This window comes from Homo sapiens, chromosome 12 (genome assembly GCF_000001405.40).
Source record: "Homo sapiens chromosome 12, GRCh38.p14 Primary Assembly".
Taxonomy (NCBI): domain Eukaryota; kingdom Metazoa; phylum Chordata; class Mammalia; order Primates; family Hominidae; genus Homo; species Homo sapiens.
This window is the reverse complement of record NC_000012.12, coordinates 133216904-133239878: the sequence shown is the minus strand read 5'-3', so window position 1 is coordinate 133239878 and position 22975 is coordinate 133216904. Positions and strand designations below refer to the sequence as shown.

At 53.4% G+C, this 22975-nt stretch overlaps 1 protein-coding gene and 1 pseudogene across 9 annotated transcripts; both read left to right on the top strand.

The window, feature by feature from the left end:
• Positions 1441–1544, top strand: RNU6-717P (RNA, U6 small nuclear 717, pseudogene; annotated as a pseudogene).
• On the top strand, positions 4002–21567 carry ANHX (anomalous homeobox). 9 transcript variants are annotated; one of them, XR_941396.3, is made up of 10 exons: positions 4002–4072; positions 5501–5771; positions 8235–8362; positions 11932–12055; positions 12727–12943; positions 13441–13561; positions 14051–14343; positions 18500–18674; positions 19026–19133; positions 20512–20575. XR_941396.3 is itself a non-coding variant. In NM_001372060.1 (10 exons), exons 2-10 carry the CDS (start codon positions 5523–5525, stop codon positions 20992–20994), a joined length of 1452 nt encoding a protein of 483 aa, NP_001358989.1. In that variant the 5' UTR covers positions 4002–4072; positions 5501–5522; the 3' UTR covers positions 20995–21567. The 9 variants fall into 9 exon arrangements, 8 of the variants coding, with proteins under 8 accessions (NP_001358989.1, XP_006719806.1, XP_011533124.1 ...); NM_001372060.1 differs by lacking the exon at positions 19026–19133 and adding an exon at positions 20908–21567 and having other exon boundaries at positions 18527–18674; positions 20512–20596; XM_006719743.5 differs by lacking the exon at positions 19026–19133 and adding an exon at positions 20908–21567 and having other exon boundaries at positions 20512–20596.
• The last annotated feature ends 1408 nt before the right edge of the window (positions 21568–22975 follow it).

The following is a 22975-nucleotide window of genomic DNA, read 5'->3' as shown; positions in this document are numbered from 1 at the left end:
CGGCTTCAAGATGCGGATACGGCAGGGCTCCCTCAGGAGAGCACCAGTGATAGTGGGTGTTCCCAGGATGGAAGACAGCAGCTCATGATGGAACAGAGGTTCTTACGAGGTTAATCGAAATCACCTTCCAGCCTTCTGTGTTTCAGCTAATTACGATGGAAGAAATGCAAGAATTCCCAGGAAATTTGTTTAAAAGACACATAATGATAGAAAACTTACCAGATTTTGCATGTGCTAGTGTATATAGAAAGCAAAATGATGACAAAAAGAGCACTTACTGAATATTGACTCTAATTATCTCAGTCCCACCAAGGAAGAGGCCCTATTGTTATCCCCATTATGCCAAAGAGGAGAAAAGCTACAGAGAGGGTCAGTAACTTGCTCAAGTTCACACAGCTATTAAGTAACTGAACTGACAGTCTACCCGAGGAAGCATGGGTCCAGAAAGGAAGAGAAAATCTACAAATAGTGGGTAAGTATGCCTTAGAATGTGTCATGTGTTACTGACTGCATTTCACATTAAAGAGCATGGAGGGAAAGGGGAGACAGCCTATATTTACAATAGGCATTGGTAACTCAAATTTTGGTACTGCGCTTTATTAAAAGTAATGCTTAAAAAGGGTTCGTTGGCCAGGCGTGGTGGCTCACACCTGTAATCCCAGCACTTTGGGAGGCCAAGGTAGGCGGATCACGAGGTCAGGAGATTGAGACCATGCTGGCTAACACGGTGAAACCCCGTCTCTACTAAAAATACAAAAAAATTAGCCAGGTGTGGTGGCTGGCACCTGTAGTCCCAGCTACTTGGGAGGCTGAGGCAGGAGAATGGCATGAACCTGGGAGGCGGAGCTTGCAGTGAGCCGAGATCATGCCACTGCACTCCAGCCAAGGCAACAGAGCACAACTCTGTCCCAAATAAATAAATAAATAAATAAATTTTTTAAAAAAGGGGGTTCATTCTCGGCCGGGCACAGTGGCTCACACCTATAATCCCAGCACTTTGGGAGGCCAAGGCAGGCAGATCACGTGAGTTCGGGAGTTTGAGACCAGCCTAACAAACATAGTAAAACCCTGTCTCTACTAAAAATACAAAATTAGCTGGGCATGGTGGTGCATGCCTGTAATCCCAGATACTCGGGAGGCTGAGGCAGGAGAATCACGTGAACCCAGGAGGCAGAGGTTGCAGTGAGCCCAGATCGTGCCATTGCACTTCAGCCTGGGCAACAAGAGCGAAAACTCCATCTCAAAAAAAAAAAGTTAGGGGGAGGTTTGTCCTCATTTAGAACACTTGCAATTTAAACACTGAAGTGCTGAAGTTAAGAATGTAGACTTTTTTGGCTAGTCAAGTGAAGCAGTGGGAGTAGAGAAAGAAATCCATACGTGGTTGTGATCAGTTAGTTGTAAACACCACTGCACTTGAACTATCCAAGGATGTGGACTTTTGTGCTCACTTTGGCAGCACATGTACTGAAAGTGGAATGACACAGAGGTGAGCATGGGCCCCGTGCAAGGATGACACACAAATTCATGAAGCTCCATATTGTTTTAAAAAAGAAGGTAGAGGCCAGGCGCAGTGGCTCATGCCTGTAATCCCACCACTTTGAGAAGCCGAGGTGGGTGGATCACTTGAGGTCAGGAGTTCTAAACCAGCCTGGCCAACAAGGTGAAACCCTGTCTCTACTAAAAATACAAAAATTAGCCGGGCGTGGTGCTACGTGCCTGTAATCCCAGCTACTCAGGAGGCTGAGGCAGGAGAATCACTTAAACCTGGGAGGCAGAGGTTGCAGTGAGCCAAGATTGCGCCACTGCACTCCAGCCTGGGTGACAGAGCCAGACTCCATCTCAAAAAAATAATAAAATAAATAAAAAAGAAGGTAGACTTTCGAGTCTGACAATTAAGAGAGGCCAGCCTGTGCAACACAGCAAGGTCACGTGCCTAAAAAAATAAAAATACATTAAAAATGTGTTGAATTCATTTAAATCTAACAGTGTAGATATTTCGACATTTTAGGCCCCATTGTTTTACATTCGTTAGTGCTTAATGGGTAGCGAGCAATCTTTAGTCCACATGGCAGGAGGTAAAGGGAGGACTATCGCTCTATTCTGTTCTGTATCTCAGACAGCTGCAGTCTGTTCTCCACCCCCAACAGGGGGCTCCAGTCCCAATAGACTCCGTCAGTCAGTACTGCTTCTCCACAACCCTGTTGTCCTGTTCTTTCCACTTCTTAAAAAGAAATTTAAAAATAGAAAACCACAAAATTATTTTATAAAAATTAGAAAATGTGGATAAGTGGCCAGGCTCGGTAGCTCACACCTGTAATCCCAGCACTTTGGGAGGCCGAGGTGGGCAGATCAGAAGGTCAGGAGATCAAGACCATCCTGGCTAACATTGTGAAACCCCGTCTCTACTAAAAATACAAAAAAATTAGCCGGGCGTGGTGGCGGGCACCTGTAGTCCCAGCTACTCAGGAGGCTGAGGGAGGACAATGGCGTGAACCCGGGAGGCGGAGCTTGCAGTGAGCCAAGATCGCGCCACTGCACTCCAGCCTGGGCGAGAGAGTGAGACTCCATCTCAAAAAAAAAAAAAAAAAAAAAAAAAAAAAAAGAAAAGAAAATGTGGATAAGCAAAAAGAAGAAAATTAAAATGCCTACAAAAGATACTGAAACAAAGTGGTAATTGAATCACCCCAGACCCACCAGGGTTTAGGATGTGGCATGCATCATTTTATCTCTGCTTTCCATGTGGGCTCCTACCTCTGTCTTAGAAGCCAGCCTTCTGCTGTACAATGTATCGCGATCATCAGCTGGGCCCCAGCGACCTCAGCATCACTACTAATAACCTGCCAGGAACCCATCCCCTGTCTCAACCGTGGTTTATTTCTCAAATCTTCCACCAGAGGCTTGGGCTGTTTTCACATCTTCACTGGAACAAACACTGAAATGTTTATCCTGTGTCTTATGCGTGTATTGACTTTTTTCCTTCCAATTAGACCTTCACTACCTTTGAAAACCAACTCAAGGCCGGGCACGGTGGCACGCACCTGTGGTCTGGGAGGCTGAGGCAGGAGGATCACTTGACCCCAAGAGGTTGAGGCTGGAGTGAGCTCTGATCGCGCCGCCGCACTCCAGCCTGGGCCACAGAGCGAGACCCTGCCTCTAAACAAACAATTCAAGGTCTCCGGGTAACTTCCGAGCTCACTGTATAAAACACCAAAAACAAAAAAAAAAGCCACAAACCCACAAAAAAACTATAAACTCCACAAGGGCAGAGGCTGGACTGCACCCGTGCCAGGACTTGGGGTGTTCAGTCATTTCCCAGCCACCTTTTGACCAGGTCTGCGAGGACCCCACTCCCACCCCAGGATCGCCCCGTGGTGCCCGGAACGCCGGTGGTCACGGAGGTCAGCCGTGGTCAGGCTGCCCTAGGCTTCCCCTGAGGGAGCCACCCGCAGGGCCCACCTGGGTGGAGCCCCCCGCCGAGGCTGAAGTCGGAACTCCGCTTGGACCCAGGCGCGTCCCCTGGGGGTCTGCGTTCCAGAGGCGCCCTCCTCCCCCGCGCTAGGAAAGCGCTGCGCCCCACCGAGCCGCGACCCCAGTTTGACTCAGCTGCGCCTGCGCCGGCGCCAGAGCCAGGGCGGGCGGCGCGGGGTCAGCCGTGGGTCACGACTCCCTCGGCTCCGCTGCAGGGCGGGGGTCGCGGCGCCCTCCCCCACCAACCCCGCACCCCGCGCCCCGCAGAGCCTGCTCCTTCCGGCGCTCGAGGACGCAAAGCTCCAGGCCTTTCTGACCCCGCACCGCACACCCCAGAAACCCCAGGTCGTCCGGGACTCCTCGGACCCGCAGATGCCACGGACACCAGATCCCCCACGGACCCCTCAGCTCCCCCGGACTCCGCGGTCGCATCGGGGGCTGAGGGGCGCCGGCCCCCGGGACGCCTTGTGGGCGGGGCCTCGCGGGATTGGCTGCGAGCCTGGATACTTTGTAGCACCCGCACCTTCTGTGCTGCCCAGCGCCTCCTCGCCAGCCCCGGGTGCGCGCCAAGCACGTGCGCCGGCGCTGAAGCGGGTCCCGGAGGGTGAGGGGCGCGCGGGCAGGGGGGTCCGGGAGGATGAGGGACGCGCGGGGGCAGGGGGGGCCTGGAATGTGAGGGGCGCGGGGGCGGGGGTCCCAGAGGGTGAGGGGCGCGCAGGCGGGGGGGGTCCTGGAGGATAAGGGGCGCGGAGGCGGGGGGTCCCGGAAGGTGAGGGGCGCTAGGGCAGGAGTCCCTGAGGGTAAGGGGGGCCCCGGAGGGTGAGGGGTGCGGGGGCCGGGGTGGGGCTGAGGGTGGAGCCTCCCAGGCTGGAGCCCCAGGCAGGAATTTCGGCCTCCGCAGGGAGCAGCGTGCCAGAAAGGTAGGGGGGCTGGGGGCCATGGGCGGGGGTCCCGCCAAAGTCAGGAAGCCAAGCAGAGCCACCTCCCGCGACCCTTCCCCTCCATTCAGCTGGAGCCGGGTGCCCCTCAGGGCACCGGGCGGACAGGCCAAGGTACCCCACAGGAACCTTTTTCCTTCCTGAAGTGGCAGGAACCCCGCCCCTCCCAGAGCCGGTGGGGGTCGGCGTTGCAGGAAACCCAGGCCTGGGAGCCTCCTCTGCCCTCCTCCAAGGCCCCTGCAGGCTCTGTTCCCCCAAGGGACCCCAGGTCCAGGGCCTCCTGCCCACTGTGGCAGCTGGAAACTCAGAGCCCCGAGTCAGGACCCGGGTGAGATGGCGCTAGAGCCCGGGAACGGGTGGAGTAGACGAGGTCGCGTCCCCTTGGCGGGCGCACGGCAGAAAGAACCCCTCGCCAGGGAGCGCGCAGCCTACCTGGTTCTTCGCGGCTGTGAGGATTTACAAACCTTTTGGAAAGCAGTTTGGCAACACCTACTACCCTGCCCCTACTTCTGTGAATAAAAGTGTATTCCGCAGAAGTAAGATCGATTGGGGAGGGTTTTCTGTTGGGAAAAGCAGTCACTGGCAGCTGCCTGAATGTCCTTAGGTGAGGCACCGTTAGAACAAGTAAAGGTTCCTCCTGTGTGGATGCAGGACCAAGCGTGTGATTGCAAAGTGTGTCTTTGACATTGTTTGGATTAAGTATTGGCGTGAGCAGTTTCTGCTGTTAAAACAAGTGCATGTATGTGGGTTCAGATGAAAGGCCTTGGCATCCACTGGTGACCCCTGCACACAAGGTCCCTACCCTACTGAGCCCAGAGCAGTGGAGGAGCTGTTGCAGACAGTACCCAGCCCAGTGCTTGGTGCACAGCCGTGTTCGTTAAGGACTAAAGTATTTGGGGGATTAGAAGGAAATTCTAGAGGGTGTATGCTATGGTGCTGCCCTCTCTCGGGATGTGTGAGGTCTTATTCCTACTCTACAAGTGTCCACGGCACAAGAGCCGTGCATCACCTGCTTTGCAGAGTGGGTTGGGCGATTGACTGACAGAAAGGACGTGGTCAGTGGTGGCCATTCTTGTGACTGTTTGTGTTGGCAGAGTGGCCACGACCCAGCACAGGATGCAGAGCTTCCTGACTCTGCTGAAGGAGCATGAGGACACCTGTGCACCCCCGGCGGAGCTGGTGACCCTTGCGGGCAGACTGTGCCGGGACTTCCAGGATGACCTTGCCCAACTGCAGCCTTTGGTCACAGCCATTCTGGACAGCCAGCTCCGCCTGCATCTCCTGGACAACGCAGATGTGGCCCTGGCGTGCGCCCGTGTCCTGGACCAGCAGGAGCAGCAGCAGGCGGCTTGCCGCCTCCTGGAGGTAGGCCTGGGCTACAGGGGTAGGGTACAGAGAGAGGTAGCAACTTCTTTAGGCAGCCTCCACCCATCTCCGGCACTGCAGCAGTACCCAGGAGTTAGTAGGAACCCACTGGCCAGAGGCCCACCCCCAGGCCTTGGAAAAACCTGGGAGGCAGGTTTTATGTAACCTTACTCCGCTCTCACATTACTAAGCTCTAACTAGTTTGGTAATCTGAGTTAAAACTACTCATTTGGCAAATCCCTATTGAGTGGTGATCTGTGACAGGCAAGATGCCAATAAAGTGAGTGAATAAAATGCAGTCCTGTCTTTGGAGAGCCAGCATCTTAGCAAGGCATTCAGACAGACCCCTTCTCATTCCCCGGCCGCAAGTCTGCAATGGAGAACTCTGAAAACCAAAAGTATCTCTCACTCACCTGCTGGTACCTTCAACCTCAACGCATTAGGCACTGAACCTGACCTGTGCTGATCTGAAGCTATTTATAGTGTTTATTGTTCCAACTAATGTGACCACTGTACGTTTTGCTGCCTAAATAAGAGTATGCTTGATGACAGGATGCTGCCCCAGGTCGTGCTGAGTGGTGCATGTCGTGTGCTGGATGCCTGCGTTACTTGCTGAAATCTGAAAAATTCTGAATCACAGAAAACGTGGCCCAAAGGGTTTCCAAAAAGGAATTTGAATGCCTATTTTTCCTTTCTTTGACCCTGTAAAACAGTCCATACATAATTCATTGTGAGTTTACCTTCAAGATACTCGGTTCCTTCCAACCCCTCACCAAGCTAGTGTGGTGTCCTCCTGTCCCCTCCACCTGTTCACACAGCAGCCAGAGGGAGTTTTTACAATGCAAATGGTATCACAGTGTGCCCCTGAGCAGTGGCTCCCAGATCCGGGGCCTGAGCCTGCTGCTGTCCTCTCACCTCTGACTCCTCCCAGCCTCCTCTGCAGTGGCCACACCAGTCTCCTTGCCGTTCCAACTCCCGAGATGTTTCCCTGTCCCAAGGCCTTTGCAGGTGTCTTTCCTCTGTTAGAGGCTGGCGCCTGGCTCTCCGTGTGGCCAGTGCCTACCTACCCTTCTGGTTTCTACTTTAAATGTCAGCCCAGGGAGGTGGTGCCTCCTTCACTCTCCAGTATTGCCCCCCCGTTACCCCTTTTCTGTCCCTGCCTCTGTTTGTAACTAGAAGGTTGTTTGTCAATCTGCCTCCCTTACTACACTGAAGGTCCATGAGGCAGGGCCACCACAGCCTTTCTCACTGCAAGATTGGCTGACACACAGCACGACACCTAGAACCTAGCAGGGCTCCAGGTCTTTCAAATCTGTCAAAATAAATGAAGTAAACAAACGAGAGAGTGCAGAGTTAGAGTTGTAATGACTGCCGTGAAGGCAACCACTGGCATCAGTGATGAAAACCCCCTGCAGAGGAATTAGAAGCTCAGTCAGGGTGACCCACAGGTACGTCTGAGGAGGTGACTTGCGGCTGAGACCTGGGAGGCATGAAGGGACCACCACATCAAGAACGGGTGGCAACCCCAGCCTGTGCAGGGTGTTCCTGCCCCCACGTCAGGGCAGGGGGAAGTTCCCATGCAGGTTCCCTGAAGGCCGCGTGCTGAGAGGAGAGTGGGGCACAGAGCCGTCGGCTCTGAGGGGTCACTGCCGAGCAAGACTGGGCCTCTCTGATGCCTCAGAGAGAAAGCTGAATGATTCTCAGCACCTCCCTCGCCAGGATGGTCCAGGCAGCATCGTAGTTAAAGGCCAGTGTGGGGCCACAGGGATCACTCCTGTGGCAGATGATTGGAATTAAGGAAATGGTGGGAGCCACACAGGAGTCACGGGAGACCAGCACCAGGCATCCTCCGTCATCAGCAAAGTCCAGTTAAGTGGATGGGTGTACTGGCCACAGACAGGGACCCCTTCATCCCCCTCACCTTAGATTGTGCCGAGTACCTGAGGGACCAGCACTGCTGCTGGGAGACAAAGGTCTTTCATGTAAGACTTGAATCAGACATCAGGCCCTCAAATCGCACCATGTGGTTATAACCACTGCTCCACCTCCCCTTTGCTGTTGGCCAAAAGAGAGTCACTGGACTTCCCCTTGCCACATGTGCCTTACCTTTGAGGTACAGCTGGGAGCTGTGCTTATCTTGTGTTTTGGGGAGGGTTGAAGGTTTAAAGGAAGGGGCCCATTCAAGACTGATGTGAGTGCATCTGCCCAAGGTCTATGAGGTGACCTGGCAGGCCTAGGGTCACACCGCTGAGCCTGCTAGGAATGGAGCGGGGGCCATCTGACTCATGCCTGCATTGTGTGGCCACACTGGCACTTTGTAAAATCAGTGAATTTGAACCCAGAACCCTGCTCTTCCCATCACTGCCTTCCCCAAGGCTGAGTCGGTTTGGGATGGCAGATGCAGGTCCCAACAGTGCTCCAGGGTGGGCAGGTGGCCAGGGCTCAGTACACTCTTCTTGGCAGGGGTGCCAGGTGCCGGGAGGCAGCCAGGAGTTAGTGCAGCTCTGGAACGACATCCACTACCGTCTGGTCATGAGGAGGCTGGGCGTGGCTGCGCTCACCCCGGTGCAGAAGTTCCGCTGCAGGAAGAGGTAACCTACAAGCATTTACTTGTGCATATTTCATGGGGATCCCAAGGGATTAGATGTACCATGCAAAGCCCAGAGGGGCTGAAGCAAAGTGGAGGTGAGGAGATAGGGACAGGAAATGTCCGCCGGAGCAGTAATAGTCACAGTGTAGTCAGCATAAGATGACTTCAGTGTGTGTCACACCTGTGCTGGATGCTGGTCACTGAGCTACACTCTCCACCAGCCACTTCAGTCAGCTGATGGCTGGAAACGGATGGCTGACCACAGGGTGACTGAGGCTAAGGCCAGGAGGTGGGCATCCTCATCATCTCTGCCCAGCATCCACCCAGGGACTGGCCAGAAAGGGGGCTATTGGGCCAGGGACAGTGGAGATGGAGGGCAGGTGGGAACAGCTCAACATGTGTCCCCAGGTCATCTAATCCCCACAATCTGGGCTCTGGGTGGCCACTGAGGGGTTGCAAGGCCTTTCAAAGAGTTAAGGGTGAGAATGTTGCCAGTGTTAGCATGAGTTACATGTCAGGCGCTCAGAATAGTGCCAGGCACATGATAGGCACTAAATAAGTGGTAGTCCTTATCATCGCCACCATTATCAGCACTAAATAAATGTTACTAGTAATTTTTATTATCACCATCATCACCACTTATGGATGAGGAAACGGAGGCACAGAAAGGGTAACCTGAGGTTCCACACGAGAGAGAGTTGCAAAGCCAGGACGCTAGCCCAGACACTGAGAAATTGGAGCCTTTAAAAAAAAAATTGAGACAGGGTCTTGCTCTGTTGCCCAGACTAGCATGCAGTGGGGCGGTCACAACTCTGCAGCCTCAACTTCCCGGGCTCAAGCGATCCTCCCACCTCAGCCCCCCAGGTAGCTGTGACCACCATGCCCAGCTAATTTTTAATTTTTTGTAGAGACAGGGTCTTGCTATATTTCCCAGGCTGGTCTCAAACTCCGGGGAGCCTTATTCTTCATCTCAGGTGCTCTCCACTGGTCAGGAAAGGGCTGTAGATCTTGCTGTGAACTCCTGACAGCCCAAGTCATGAAAGATTCCTGAGCCACAGGGCCTGGTCGGTAAGAATACTGGTCGCTGAAGGAAGAAGACATGGATACCTTTTGGGCTCAGAGAATTTTCTTGCGTGGTACCCATCAAATAGAGTGACAGAGTAAGACAAGTCGTCAGAAGCCCAGCAGTAAATCAGCTGTGGGGTCTTCAGGGGATGTGATTGTAGCCCCCCACGGGCATGCTGACACCTGCCAGAGTGCAGTGGTGTCATCTTGTCGACATGTTTGTTAAGCACCCCCTGCCTGCTGGGTTCTGGGAGGTGCTGGGGATGAAGGCCAGGCTCTGCCTCCATGGAACTGACATTGGGATGTGGACAATAGTCAACAGACAAGAAAATAAAGTAGGTCACATAATTCAGAGAGTGAGAAGTGCTATGCAGAGAATATGTCCAGAAGAGGGCTGTGCAAGGTTGGCTGCTTTAGATGGGGTGGTCAGTGCAGGCTGGTCCTAGTCTTGGAGGAGAGTCTTGAGTATGGTGATGTGTCAGCCATGTGAGCAGAAGTTTCTGGGAAGGGGCAGCACATTCAAAGACTTGGGATCAGAGAAGCTTGGTGTTCAGGGGCAGATGGGAAGTATTTTGGGGTGTATGTGTTCACAGCCCTTGAAAAATGTAAAAGCAGGTGTTGGAATGGATTCGCTCACCCTGCCTTAGAGGCTGATGAGCAGCAGGAGGACATTGAGCCGGCAGCCATGGTAGCTGCTGGATTGGGTTATGACCATGCTGATGGTTCCCGGGTGGTGTCAGGAAGGGATGGCATCTGAGTCACAGAAGATGCAGATACAGGGATCAGGAGTAGATGCTGGAGTTTCTAGGAGGTTCCAGGCATGCCCAGGGCTGGGATCGTGGCTGGGGAAAGTGGAGAGTGTTGTGTCAGTACCCTGACACAGGAGGTGGAGCTGGGGGGTTTGCTGATGGGCTGTACACATGGCAGGAGGTAAAGAGAGGGCTAAAGTAGACTCCAGGGCTCTTGGCCTATGTGGGAACCACCAGGAGCATGAGGGTTCCTTCACTGAGATGCACAGGAGCTGGGGAAAAGTCTGGAGAGGGGGGATGGAGTTCTTTTGGGATTCATGATGTGCGAGATGCATTTTAGATGTCCAAGTAGGCACTGGGATGACACACCTTCTACAGACAAGTAATATTGGTGCATATATCATCTTTTCCTTATGAAATATTCAAATCTGCTCAGCACTAGAGAGGAGCATAACCAGCTGGAACACCCCCAGTGTCCAACTCCAGCATTGCTCAGACACGCATCCCTTTGTCATCTCTGTGACTGATACTGAAATCCTGGGAGCGCACAGAGAAAGGGGTCCTCTGTGTTCAGGGGACAGACCTCTGGGACTTTGCAGCCCAGAGGAGGATGAGGAAGATTCAGCTGAGACATGGCCAGTGAGAGGAAGAGGAAATCCAGCAGTGCAGAGTTCAGAAGCCAGTGAGGCTGAGGAGGTGCCAGTTAAGAGGAGAGCTGAGAAATGAACTTCGGATTGTGTGAGCTGGGCAAGTGCTTTTAGTGGCAAGGTGCAAGGATCCAGGTGTGTCACAGAGACAAGGAGACAGTGGCAGTGATCCAAGATCATTCTTTGAGAAGTTTAGCTGGAACTGGAGCAGACTCATGGGATCACCACTGGAGGTGAGAAATTTACAGAGCTTAGCAGCTCATGAGAATGACTTACTAGAAGAAATGCTGGTGATGGCAAGCAGGGAATTAGTTCAGGGGAGTGTTCTTAGTGAGATGGGGGATGAGCAGGTGCCACGGCTGGAGCCTCCCCTCACCAGGGGCCCCACAGGCATTTGGGGAGTGCAGAAGGGCTGGCAGGTTTGCTGGGGGCACAGGTGGTGCTTCTCTTCTGAGAACATCTTGGTGAAATGAGAGCCAGATCACCCAAGGACATTAAGTCTTGGGAGGAGGTCTTGGGGGTGAGAGACGAAGGGAGAAAGCTGGCGTGGCCATGCAGGGTGGCAGGGGTGTGAGTGCTGCAAGCCTCAGAGGACTCATGCAAGAATGGGGCTGATGCCTGGAAACCAGCGATGAACAGAAAGCACTGAATGGAAAAGCACCCAGGGTGGCAGCCAGGTCCTGAGGACAACAGTGTGTGTGTGTGTCCAGGAGGGCCATCCACGGGAGCTCCATGGGCTGAGGACACCTGTGTGTGAGTACGAGGAAGGCTGTGCACGCGGCCTCCATGGATGAGGATGTCTACATGTGAGGATGTCCAGGAGGGCCATCCATCGGGGCTCCATGGGCTGAGATGCACCCAGGAGCACTGCAAGGGCCCACAGAGGGCTCCTCACAGTGGCCTGTAGATGTTCTGGAACAGTATTTGTCAGGGTTTGTGCATGTCTGTGGAAGAGACTCTAGTTTTCACTAACTGGAGGCAGAGAGAGGCATCCCCCAGGAGGAGGCACAGGGAAGGAAGTGTCACCTTCTGCAGAGGGCCAGGCCTGGAGAAGGGAACAGATTTGGAGGGGTCCTGTCTGTTACCACCTCCTCACTGTCCTTACCCAGGAACCCCCCGCCCCCCTCCCTCTGCCCAGAGGGGCTGAAGAGCCGGAACTTCCCCAGAGAGGTTCGTGAGAAGCTGCACAATTTCGCTGTGGGGGTGAACACCAACCCCAGCAAGGCTGAGAGGGTAAGAATAGAAGATACCCAGGACCCAGGGGGTCCCTGCCTGGTGCCTCCCTGTCCCCCAAGGGGTACCCCCACCCCAGGCTCCTCAGTGGCCTCATCCGCCAGGGTGCTGGTGGTTTCAGCCCCTCCTCTGGACAGGGACCTTGTTGATTGGCAGACTGTCCTGTCTGCCACATAAAGGGTTTCATTTTCTCACGTGGAGTCATAACATCTGTGTATGTGGCCCCACGGCTGCTCACTCAGCACCCACTGTGTGCCAGGCACCAGGACGATGGGTCGAGGCATCTGCCAGCTGACATGCTCTCCACTGCACAGTGGGTTTGTGCCAGGCACAGGCAGTGTGGTTCTGCAGGCCCTGCCCCTCCAGGGGCTTGGGGTGGCCCTGGGCATGTTGTCTGGGTGGACCTAGCAAGGGCCCCACTCAGGGGGACGTGCACATGTGGCTGTGCAGACAGCCTGACCTGGGCCTCACTGCTCAGGGGATGGGGATCAGCCCAGGGAGGTGAGGCCTGCATGTTCTGCTCATGCTCACCGCTCTCTGCTGTCCTTGGAGAGGTTAGGCTGGGCTGTCACCCCCTTTCTTGGTGTAAATGAGCTGTCTGAGCCACTTCTGCACACCCCCTGTCCTCAGGGAATGGAAGCAGGGCTAGAAGTCTTGTTGTTTGGGGGCAGGAGAACTTGGCATTGGAGACGAGCTTGACCCCTGAGCAGGTGTACAACTGGTTTGCCAATTACCGGCGCCGCCAAAGAGCCCTTCCCCAGCACATGAAGCCAGCCCAGCAGGCCACAGCTGAAGACCCTGGTGCGAGGGAGAGGGGTCCTGACCTCCTGCAGCCCTCAGGCAACCCCCGTGTTGACTCTGGGTTTGTGGACAGGCCTCAGTGGTCAGGTGAGTGGCCTGAGGGCCCCAGTCTCCTTGTGGTCGGGGAGCTGGTTTCTGACAAGGGCCAGGCCTAGGTAGTCACACTGCTTACAGGGGTAGCCCTCCTCCAATCAGTAGGTTCCAGGTGTCACTCTGTGGGAGCAAGATCACAGGGTCCGAGGTCTGAGGCTCAAGATGCCCAGGCTGGGCTGTGGCTGCCCCTATGCATTTTGAGGTCACTGTGTGGCCGGGCCAGGAGCTGGGCTGGAGAGGAGGGCATCGTGTGGCCAGAGGAGGAGTTGGTGAGTCAATTTGAGAAGTGAACCAAGCACCGGGATTTGGGGTGTCCTGGGTTGGCAATTATGGATTGTTGGTTCACACCAAAGACAGGACAAGAAGCAAAAACATTGGGATGGCCCCATGGCAACAGCCTTTTCCAGCCAGCAGGGCTGCTCATACCTGATGGGAAGGAGGTTGGGAACCAGAGCCTCACTAAGTCTCCCCTCCCATCTCATCACTTTCAGAGGAACGTGAGGAAAAGGGGCCTCCACAGTCCCCACAGACCACCCAAGGACCATGGGAGCCACTGGCCTTAGCCCCGGACTTTCCCGCAGATGAGACAGTCTCAAAGCCACTGGATGTCAGGTACTGTCATCTCCATGGCCATGGAATCATCTCACCTATTCAGTTCCCTTTCCTCCTCAGGTGGAGACTAGGGCATGAAGTAGGCCTAAGGGTGACAGGACCCCCACACTGGGATCAGGTCAGACCCCAGGGAGAGGGAAGCCACCAGCAAGGAGCCCACGTCAGGGACTGGGGTGGGGGTGGCTTCTTCTGAACCCACACGTGCTCCTGCAGCCTGACTCATCACCTGAGTTCATGTCTGTCTTGGAGAACGGGGTAACAGACTTAGAAGGAAACACATGCAGCCCTGCCACCTAAAGACAAACCCAGCTGTCCCTGTGGTTTGTTTCTAGTACTTTGTCTGTTTTGCTTTTCATTGAGTTAATACCAGCCAGTATCTCTTGAGTTCCTACTGCACACCAGCACTGTTTGAGCACCGTTGTGCTCCCTCCTGCCCTGCCCTGAGGGAGGCTCTGCCCACCAAGAGACAGTGTTCTCCATGTCCCCCAGGTCTCTGCCAGGTGGCGAGATGTACCAGGAGGGGCCTGGCCATGATCCTGCCACCCTCCCCCTCTTCTGCCCTGGCCCTGGCCTCTGCCCTCTGGCTGCTGGCAATGACATGCTGAACCCCTCTCTGGCTGCCCCTGAATCTTGGCTGATGTCTCTTGCACTGGCGTCCTCCAAGGAAGTTTCCTTCCAGACTGGGCAGCTGGTCCACAGCCATGGGCTGGACTTCATGATGGGCCCTGCAGACACCGCTGTGGCTGTGTCCATTGCCACCCTTGGAGATCCCAGCCCTACAGGTGGGTCCACTTCAGACAGACCATGAGTTTCAGCACCAGACACTGTGACTACTCAGGTCCTGTTTGAGGGGATAGAAGTGTGGGTAGGGCCACACGGCTTGAACCCATGGTATTTGATTAGACCTGGAACCAATGTAGCCAGAACAAAGACTCTTCCCACAAACATCCCAGATTATTTCTCATCTGTTTTATTGTGTGTGTGTGTGTGTGTGTGTGTGTGTATGTATGCATATCACTGAAGAGGAAGAGTTGAAAGGAAAGAGCTGCCACCCTGTGCTCTCCACTGCAGTCCACTTGATTTATCTATTAACACCGGGTGCAGCAGAGAAGGCTGAGCTCCTTAGACTCCCCGCTTGTCCACCCCCCTTAGCCTGTAGTAGAGATCCCATGATTTTAGCTTCTAAGTTATCGTTGAAGCTGTAAAATCATTTAAAGAGTATGTATTTAGATGTATATTTTGCCCATCCAGTACACCAGAATCATGAGACTTCTCACTTTGTAAGGAGGAAACTGGAGCTATGAATTCACCCAAATTTCTTTCTTTCTTTTTTGTTTTTGTTTTTTTTTTTTTTTGAGACGGAGTCTTGCTCACCCAGGCTGGAGTGCAGTGGCGTGATCTCGGCTCACTGCAACCTCCTCCTCCCAGGTTCACGCCATTCTCCTGCCTCAGCCTCCCGAGTAGCTGGGACTACAGGCGCCCGCCACCACGCCTGGCTAATTTTTTTGTACTTTTTAGTAGAGACGGGGTTTCACCCTGTTAGCCAGGATGGTCTTGATCTCCTGACCTCATGATCCGCCCGCCTCGGCCTCCCAAAGTGCTGGGATTACAGGCGTGAGCCACCACGCCCAGCATTTTTTTTTTTTTTTTTTTTTGAGATGGAGTCTTGGTCTGTCACCCAGCCTAGAGTGCAGTGTCACGATCTCGGCTCACTGCAACCTCTGCCTCCAAGGTTCAAGCGATTCTCCTGCCTCAGCCTCCCGAGTAGGTAGAACTACAGGCACCTGCCACCACGCCCGGCTAATTTTTTGTATTTTCAGTAGAGACAGCATTTCACCATGTTAGCCAGGCTGGTCTCAAACTCCTGAACTCAAGGGATCCACCCGCCTCAGCCTCCCAAAATGCTGGGATTACAGGCGTGAGCCACCATGCCCAGCCAAATTTACCTATATTTAATATTCTATGGGTATATACATCTTTTCTCTTCAGCTTTTTTTTCTTCTTGGAGCTTCTCCATGCCTTTCCTTTTTCTTTTTACATTGTCTGCTTTTATCACATTTTTAACATCTTCCAGCATTTGAAGCATCCCATCTGAAAACTCACTGTTGGGGGCCCTCCATTTTCCCTTTCCCCTCCAAGTGACAGCTCCCTAGGCCTGGAGTGAAGCTATTGTCCCCAGTGCTCCCATGCTGCTTCCCTGGGTTTACTCCAGGGTGTCCTGAATTTCAGGTCTGGTTCTTTCTTTATTTGACTCCCTTGTTTTGTTAGCCAGCAGCTTCAGTTAACTTTGCAAGAAAGAGTGCCTGCAAGATAAATTATCCGAGTCCTCATTTGTTCTAAAAATGTCTTTAATCTGTCTTCAAGTTTGGTTAACAATTTTGCAAGGACAGAATTCTGAGTTGAAATGCTTTTCCCCCCCTCATAATTTTTTGGAGCTCTTAGATTCTTTTTTTCTTATTTTTTGGGGGGGTGGGTCTTAAAGTTCTGAAATTTCACGCTGAGGGTCCGAGGTTGTGGGTCTTTTTACTTCATCTTGCTGTTAAGACTTTAATCTTAAAGAATAAGGTCTCCTGGCCGGGTGCAGTGACTCACGCCTGTAATCCCAGCACTTTGGGCGGCTGAGGCAGGCGGATCATGAGGTCAAGAGATCAAGACCATCCTGGCCAATATGATGAAACCCCATCTGTACTAAAAAATATTTAAAAATCAGCTGGGCATGGTGGTGGTGCCTGTTGTCCCACCTAGTTGGGAGGCTGAGGCAGGAGAATCACTTGAACCCGGGAGGTGGAGGTTGCAGTGAGCTGAGATTGCGCTACTGCACTCCAGCCTGGGTGACAGAGTGAGGCTCCGTCTCAAAAAAAAAAAAAAAAAAGAATAAAGTCTCCTGTAAGCTCTGGGCATTTTTTTCTAATATCCTTTGATCGTATCTTTGATAAGTTCCTGCTTCCATGTTTTCAGCTCTCTCTTCAGAGCACAAATGTTATTTGGATGTTGGAACTCCGGGACCAGTCTCCCAAAGAACTTACCTTTTATCTTGTATTTTTTTATTGATGTGCGTTTTGGGTATTTCTTAAATTCTGTCTTCTGATTTTTTGCTTTAACAGTTATATATATATATATTTTTTTTTGAGGCGGAGTTTTGATCTTGTTGCCCAGGCTGGAGTGCAGTGGTGCGATCTCGGCTCACTGAAATGTCTGCCTCCCAGGTTCAAGCGATTCTCCTGCCTCAGCCTCCCAAGTAGCTGGGATTACAGGCATGTTTCACCATGCTGGCTAATTTTGTATTTTTAGTTGAGATTGGATTTCACCATGTTGGTCAGGCTGGTCTCGAACTCCTGATCTCAAGTAATCCACCTGCCTCGGCCTCCCAAAGTGCTGGGATTACAGGCATGAGCCACTGCGCCCGGCCAACTGCTGTATATCTTAAGAGAATTTCAATCCTTCTTTACTGATCTCTGAACTCTTCTTCCTTCATAGATTGTTACTTTCTATGGATGCAATATCTTACACTTCTCTAAGGTTCCTAATAATAATTTTTTTAAATGTGCTTCACTGTCTGAAGTCAGGACTGTTGGGACTGTGGATTCTGGCCCTTCCTTGATGCAGGGCCAGAAAGAAGAAGGGATCTTAGGGCTCGCGCCTCAGGAGAGGGCTTGTCAGTTTGATCATACTGACCTTCCATTTTTTGCTGTCCTTTTTATTTAACTGTTGGACACTCACATTTGCCTGTCTGTACTTACTGACGAGGCTGGCGTGGGGACGGTCAATGGGTGTCTTCACATTGGGACAAGAGGAGCTGGTCTTCAGACCTGGAGCCTGCTCAAGTGAGGGGGGATGTTCTGTGGGAATCAGCGAACTCCTTTGTTCTGTCTATTGAAACCCCTGCCTTCGGGTTCCCTGCTGCTGCCTGGGTACCCGGATGCTCTCCCTCCCGAGCTCCTTGGGAATCTCAGCCCCTGCCCCACACCCCAGCTCCCTGCCAGACACCCCATCACCATGGGCTGCACTTGCGTCCTGACTGCACGACTGTGGACATTGTGCTCATGGCTTTCCCTTTCTCTTGGAAAGAGAATGCGTAATCTATTGCTGTACTATGATGGATGGAACTAGAATGTCCAAACTAGTGCTTGAACATTATTTCCTCTCTCCAGAGTGTCTGTAAGGTCTGCATGAAAGAGGAAATAGCAGAAAGCAGGCACATGGTCAGGAAGGTCCCTTCAACCTAAGAAGGCCCTGGGCAGCTGGGCACCAGGTTAGGTGGTCACTCTGCTGTACAGGAAGGAGGACCACATGAGCCTCACCCCCAGGCCGCTTGTTCCATGTCTTGAGATCAGGGCCATCTTAATGCTTGTTTTACAGCCTAGTAGACTCAGGGCAGGAAAAAACCTGCCTTTTCAGGCCACAGCTCTCCTAAATGTCCACCCAGAATTGACCAAAACCACAGTAGCTTGTCTAAGAGTGAGAGATGTTCTGAGATACGCTCTGGAAAGTCAAAGGGAGGGGAAACTAGTGACAGCTTATACCTCAGTGACATCTTGGTAACCTTAGTAAGAGGTAAAAGTGGAAACCACCAAGGGCTGGTGGCCAAGCACTCCGTGAACCAGCCACAAGAGGAGACTGAGGGCTCCTGGCACATCCTTCCGCACCAGCAGGACGGAGCAAGCTGCAGACTCTGACTGGCACCGAGGGCACATGAGGTCTGCGATGACAGCAGCATTTAAAGTCAGCAGAAGCAACCGTGTCTTGGTCTCTGGAAGCCTGGAAGGCTGTTGAGATCAATGGTTGTGACAGTTCCTTCCTCAGAGAGGGAGACTGAGGCCCAGGGACCGTGAGTCTGGTTCACGTGGCGCGGGCTGGCTGGGCCGGAGGCTGCATCCGCCTCCGTGCTTTGAGGTCTTGGTTGTGTCACACGTGGGCTCTGCTCCTTTCTCCTGCCAGTGTGCCGTGGAATCTCATTACATGCAGGGTTTTCTGGCCCCCCCAGCGGCCATCCCCAGAGCGTGCAATTGGAGGAGGGTCTGGGCACAAGCAGTGGACGGACAGAGCTACGGGTGGGCAGCTTCCTGGTGACACAGCCCCCACTGCAAGCTCCTGAATTCATCCTCACCCAGAGGTAAGCCCTGAAGAGCCACAGGCCTGGACAGTCCTTTCCACAGGCCACAAGATAGGGTAATGCCCAGTTTATAGACTCACCGTCCCGGACTGTGCAGATAGGGTCCTCTCCTTTGGATTGCTGAAAACTGTAACAGTCCCCACAAGCCTACACCTATGAAGAAAAGGGTAGTTTTTCTCTCAGGAGAGCCCAAAACATCAGAGCAGATGTGGGCATCCCATGCATTGGACATGATCAGGGTTCACCCTTACCCCCAAATCACCCTGGACCCCAGCAGCCTTTCTTTTCCCTGAACAAACACTGTCAGTTTCTGGCAGAATCAAGATCCTGATTTTATATTCTGAATTGTAGTTTTCAAGGGACTTGGGGTCTTGAACAGCGTCCGTGAGCACTTGCTGTTGATAGTGTCAGTGCTGTAGAAACAGAAGATGACCAGGGCCTTCGGGGCCAGCCCAGCAGGTGGGATCCTGCAGAGACAGGAGGGATGGAGGACTGGGGCAGGGTGGCCTGGGGTCCTCTGGTGGGGAGGCTATCGCACCCGCCACTCCTGTTCTAGCAGACGCCCCATCCTCTCTACACTAGGGCCTCCAGGAGCAGAGCAGATCCCCAGGTTGTGGGGTCTCCCTCATCAGGGAGCTGCAACCAGGTTGACTCAAGGCTCATGCTAGTGAGGGCAGAATTACAGAGGGACATAGGAGAAAAGGCGGAGCAGCCCCTAAATCACATGGCCTGCTTGCTCAAACAGCCTGACTGTGAGAAAATGTACACCACACAGATGGACTCACTTTTCCATTCATGGCTGGGAGCTGAGACCAGGCAGAGGCTGCCATGGCCACGGTGTCCCCTTGTGTGTCTCGCCTCACCTCTCCACATGGCCATCTCGACCCCTTCTCTTGCTCCCCCAACTCCCATGCCTCCCTGTTCCGATCTGAAGGCCATGCTTCAACCTGAAAACATCAGTTCCTTCGTTAAAAGTGGCTTCATTGAGGTGTAATTGGCTGTACATGTGTAGACGGAGCACCTGAATTTTCTCAGTGTGACTTTCACATCCACACGAGGCCACCACCGTGATGAAGGTCTTCAATGTACCCTCCTCCTGCCTTTCGCCTCTCCCTGGCCACCCAGGACCATGGATCTGCTTCTGTCACTAAGGATTAGCTGCATTTTATAGAATTTCATGTAAATACGGTATATTTTCGGGTCTTTGTTTTGCTGTGGTCTGGCTTCCTTCGCTCTGCATGACGACTTTGAGAGTCACCATGTTTTGGATGCGTGAACAGTTCTTTCTCTCTCTGGGGAGCCACGTGCCATTGCGTGGATGTGCCACAGCTTCTTCACCCTTGTCCTGTGGATGGGGATTTGGGGGCATCACAGATAAAGCTGCTGTGAACATCCTGTATGTGTATAGTCTGCACACCTGCCTTCATTTCTCATGGTGCATGCCCAGGAGTGCCGTGGCCATGTCACATGCTAGTATGCGTTGACCTTGCTGAAGAACCACCGCCCCTTGTCCTGAGTGACTGTGCCGTGCATCCCGGCTCTTCCTCCTTTGAGGTCTCTGTTTCCTCCACATTTCTGTTCACTGGCTCTTCCATGACCCTGCTCTGAGCCCTCTGTGCAGTTGCCCCTATGACCCACCGGGTGACCCTGCTCTCTGTGTAACATGTTCCCCTCCTAACACCCTACATACGTGACAGCCCTGCAGGAAGAGAGTCTGTTCTGATGAGTGTCAAGTACTAGAATGTCTCCTGATGAGGGAGAAAGCACAGCTGGGTGGATTTTGTCACCCCAGTGTCCCCTTGAGATAGGGCCTATTCTTACACTGTCTCTTTTCCAGCCCTCCAGAGCTGGCCCCAGCCCCATCTGCCTTCCCCGGCCCTGTGTCTGCCATGGAGCTGAGCCAGGCCCTGCCCTCCAGCCAGGTGAGGCTTCCCTATGAGCACTGAAGGATTCCCTCTTTACTCCTGGATCTGCAGCTCATGGTGCTGAGGAGGGTTCAGCTAGTGCCACTGGAGTGAATACACCAGGCAAAGATAAACAAGGGGCAAAGATGATTTGTGGCTGGACATTACTGGACTGGGAGCTGGGGTGAGGGATGCTGTGGGGCAACATTCCCTCCTGAGTCCAGACTGGTTGCGGGGGGTCTTCCCAAGGTCAGGAGGTGCCCAGGTGGGAGGGCAGGTCTTGAGCCTGGAAAGGAAGCCTCTGTGTTTACCACTGTGTTGTCTTCCAGGTGCAGTGTTCTGATAGCCAGGCCTCTGGTGATGCCTTCTGGGGAGCCAGGATGCTCCTTGAGTTTTCAGGGAGCAGCCTGGGCTGAGCTATCCCCAGGAGCCAGACAGCACCCCAGGAGGAGCGGGTGTGGATGGTCTGCCTGGTCAACACAAGGAGTTACAGAGCTTTATCCTGAATACAAAATGAAGGTCCCCAGAGTTCCCCTGGGGGCTCTGCTGAAAAGCAGAGATTCTTTCCCACTGCCATGTTTGAATAGTTTGGTTAGCAATTCCCTGTAGTAGAGAAAGCATTTGAGAAATGTTCGTGAGATCAGAAGTCAAAGGTGGGTCTGTCCCACTCACGCAGCACTGGATCAGTCGGGCTCCGGGGCACTCGTGCAGAGAAGGCCATTCTAGAGAGGGGAGTGTTCTGCTGCTGGCTGCCTTGCCGTCTGCCCGTGCACACAGCCAGACTTTTCCACCAAGTTAACTGAGTGAGGTATGAGGAGTGTTCTGAGATTTCTGTGTGTAGGGGCTTCTCCCTTGAGTACTGGGAGGCAAACCTGTCTGCGAATGGCCTAGGCAGGGCAGAGTAGGGTGGATTTTCCCTCCAGGTTGTAATTCACTGTGTCTATGACACAAATGTTGTAGTCAATTAAAGTTTAATGTTTTGAACTCCCCCCTTGTATTCACTTAACCATGTATCCTGGGCATCTGTCCATGTCAAAGTACAGAGATGAACATCAGCCTTTCCACCCGGGGCCAGTGTTTCATGATGTGGGTGTACATTAATCATGCAGCAGTGCCCGACAGATGGACATCTGGACAGTTTCCAGTGTGTCTGTTTTATATGCAGCATTAGCGTGGGCAACCCTGCCCTCTGCCCTTTGCCCTTCACCTGGCTATTATTAGGATAAATTCCTGGAAGCTGAATTTCTGGGTCGATTATGGTAGCCCTAGGTGTGGACTGTGGATTTTGGAGTGTCTGTGACCTTGTGCTCACCTGGCCACGTGCCCATCTCAGGGGAGAGCCACATGTGGTCTGGGCTGAGATCAGTAGCCCTTAACCCAGAGAAGTCAGACTCTGGCCCTGCTCTCAGGAGCTCCCAAGCTGCTCTGTGAGAGGCAAAGGCACAAATACCAACCTTCCTGTGGGGTCATGGGTGGAACAGAAGGAGGAGCCATAGCTGGGAGATCTGACGGTGGGGGTCGGGAGAACAGGAGAATCTTGACGGAGGTTGCAGAAGAGCATTGTGATAGGGAGGGAATGGGGTAGTGTGGCAAAGAGAACAGGAGCCTTGGTGTCTGGCAACCATTGCATTGCTCACCTGTGGCCCCATGCATCCCTGGCAATCCCCAGGCCTGGAGGAGAAGCAGGAGGGCACTGGGACCAGCTTCCCAGCAACCCTGAGCTTGAAGGATGTGCTGCCAACAGGGTGGTGTGGAGTGGAGGGCACAGCTGCTTGCCTCCCTGTCGCAGGAGAACCAGCCCCCATGTTCCCCACATGCCGGCTCCCCCAGACTCAGGGCAGAAGCAGCAGCAGTGACTACTGTGCTTTGGGCTGCTATGGGAGGCACCACCCTTTGGCCCTCCCAGGAAACACGCAGAGCCTGGGCCCATCCCATCCCTGGGCTGAGGCCTTTCCTGCAACCAGCAGGGCCCAGAGACCCAGCAAAGAGGCACTGGGTGCTAGCTGGTCACAGTCAGAGGCCCAGGCTGCACAAGGATCTCCATGGCATGTTGTTCCCTCTTGTCCTCAGCAGGGCTCAGTCCTGAACATTCTAGAGTCCTGACTCAGACAGCTGTATCATGTCCATTCTAGAGAAAATGGACCAAAGTCTCTGGAGCTGGCCCTTGGCTAGGACTGGACCTCCCAAAAGGGGATCTCTACCAGTGGTTGATGGTCCTGCCAGGATGGAGGCTGGAGGCTCCTCACTTTCTCTGTTCAGCACCTATGAGGAGGAACTGCTGCCCACAGGCCCTTCCTTCCCCTGTCTCCTTTCTGGCTTTATCCCTGGCCTCTCTGACAATGGGATGTGGCCCCACAGCCTGTTCTGCCCTCATCCCATTAAAGGACCAGCCTGAGT

What these genes read in the sequence shown, in the direction of transcription:
- ANHX (XM_006719743.5), top strand. Translation starts at nt 5,523, where the DNA reads ATGCAGAGCTTCCTGACTCTGCTGAAGGAGCATGAGGACACCTGTGCA. An exon ending in CGGCTTGCCGCCTCCTGGAG is followed by an intron (nt 5,772 to 8,234) that starts GTAGGCCTGGGC and finishes TCTTCTTGGCAG; the next exon opens with GGGTGCCAGGTGCCGGGAGG. An exon ending in AGGCCCTGCCCTCCAGCCAG is followed by an intron (nt 20,597 to 20,907) that starts GTGAGGCTTCCC and finishes GTTGTCTTCCAG; the next exon opens with GTGCAGTGTTCTGATAGCCA.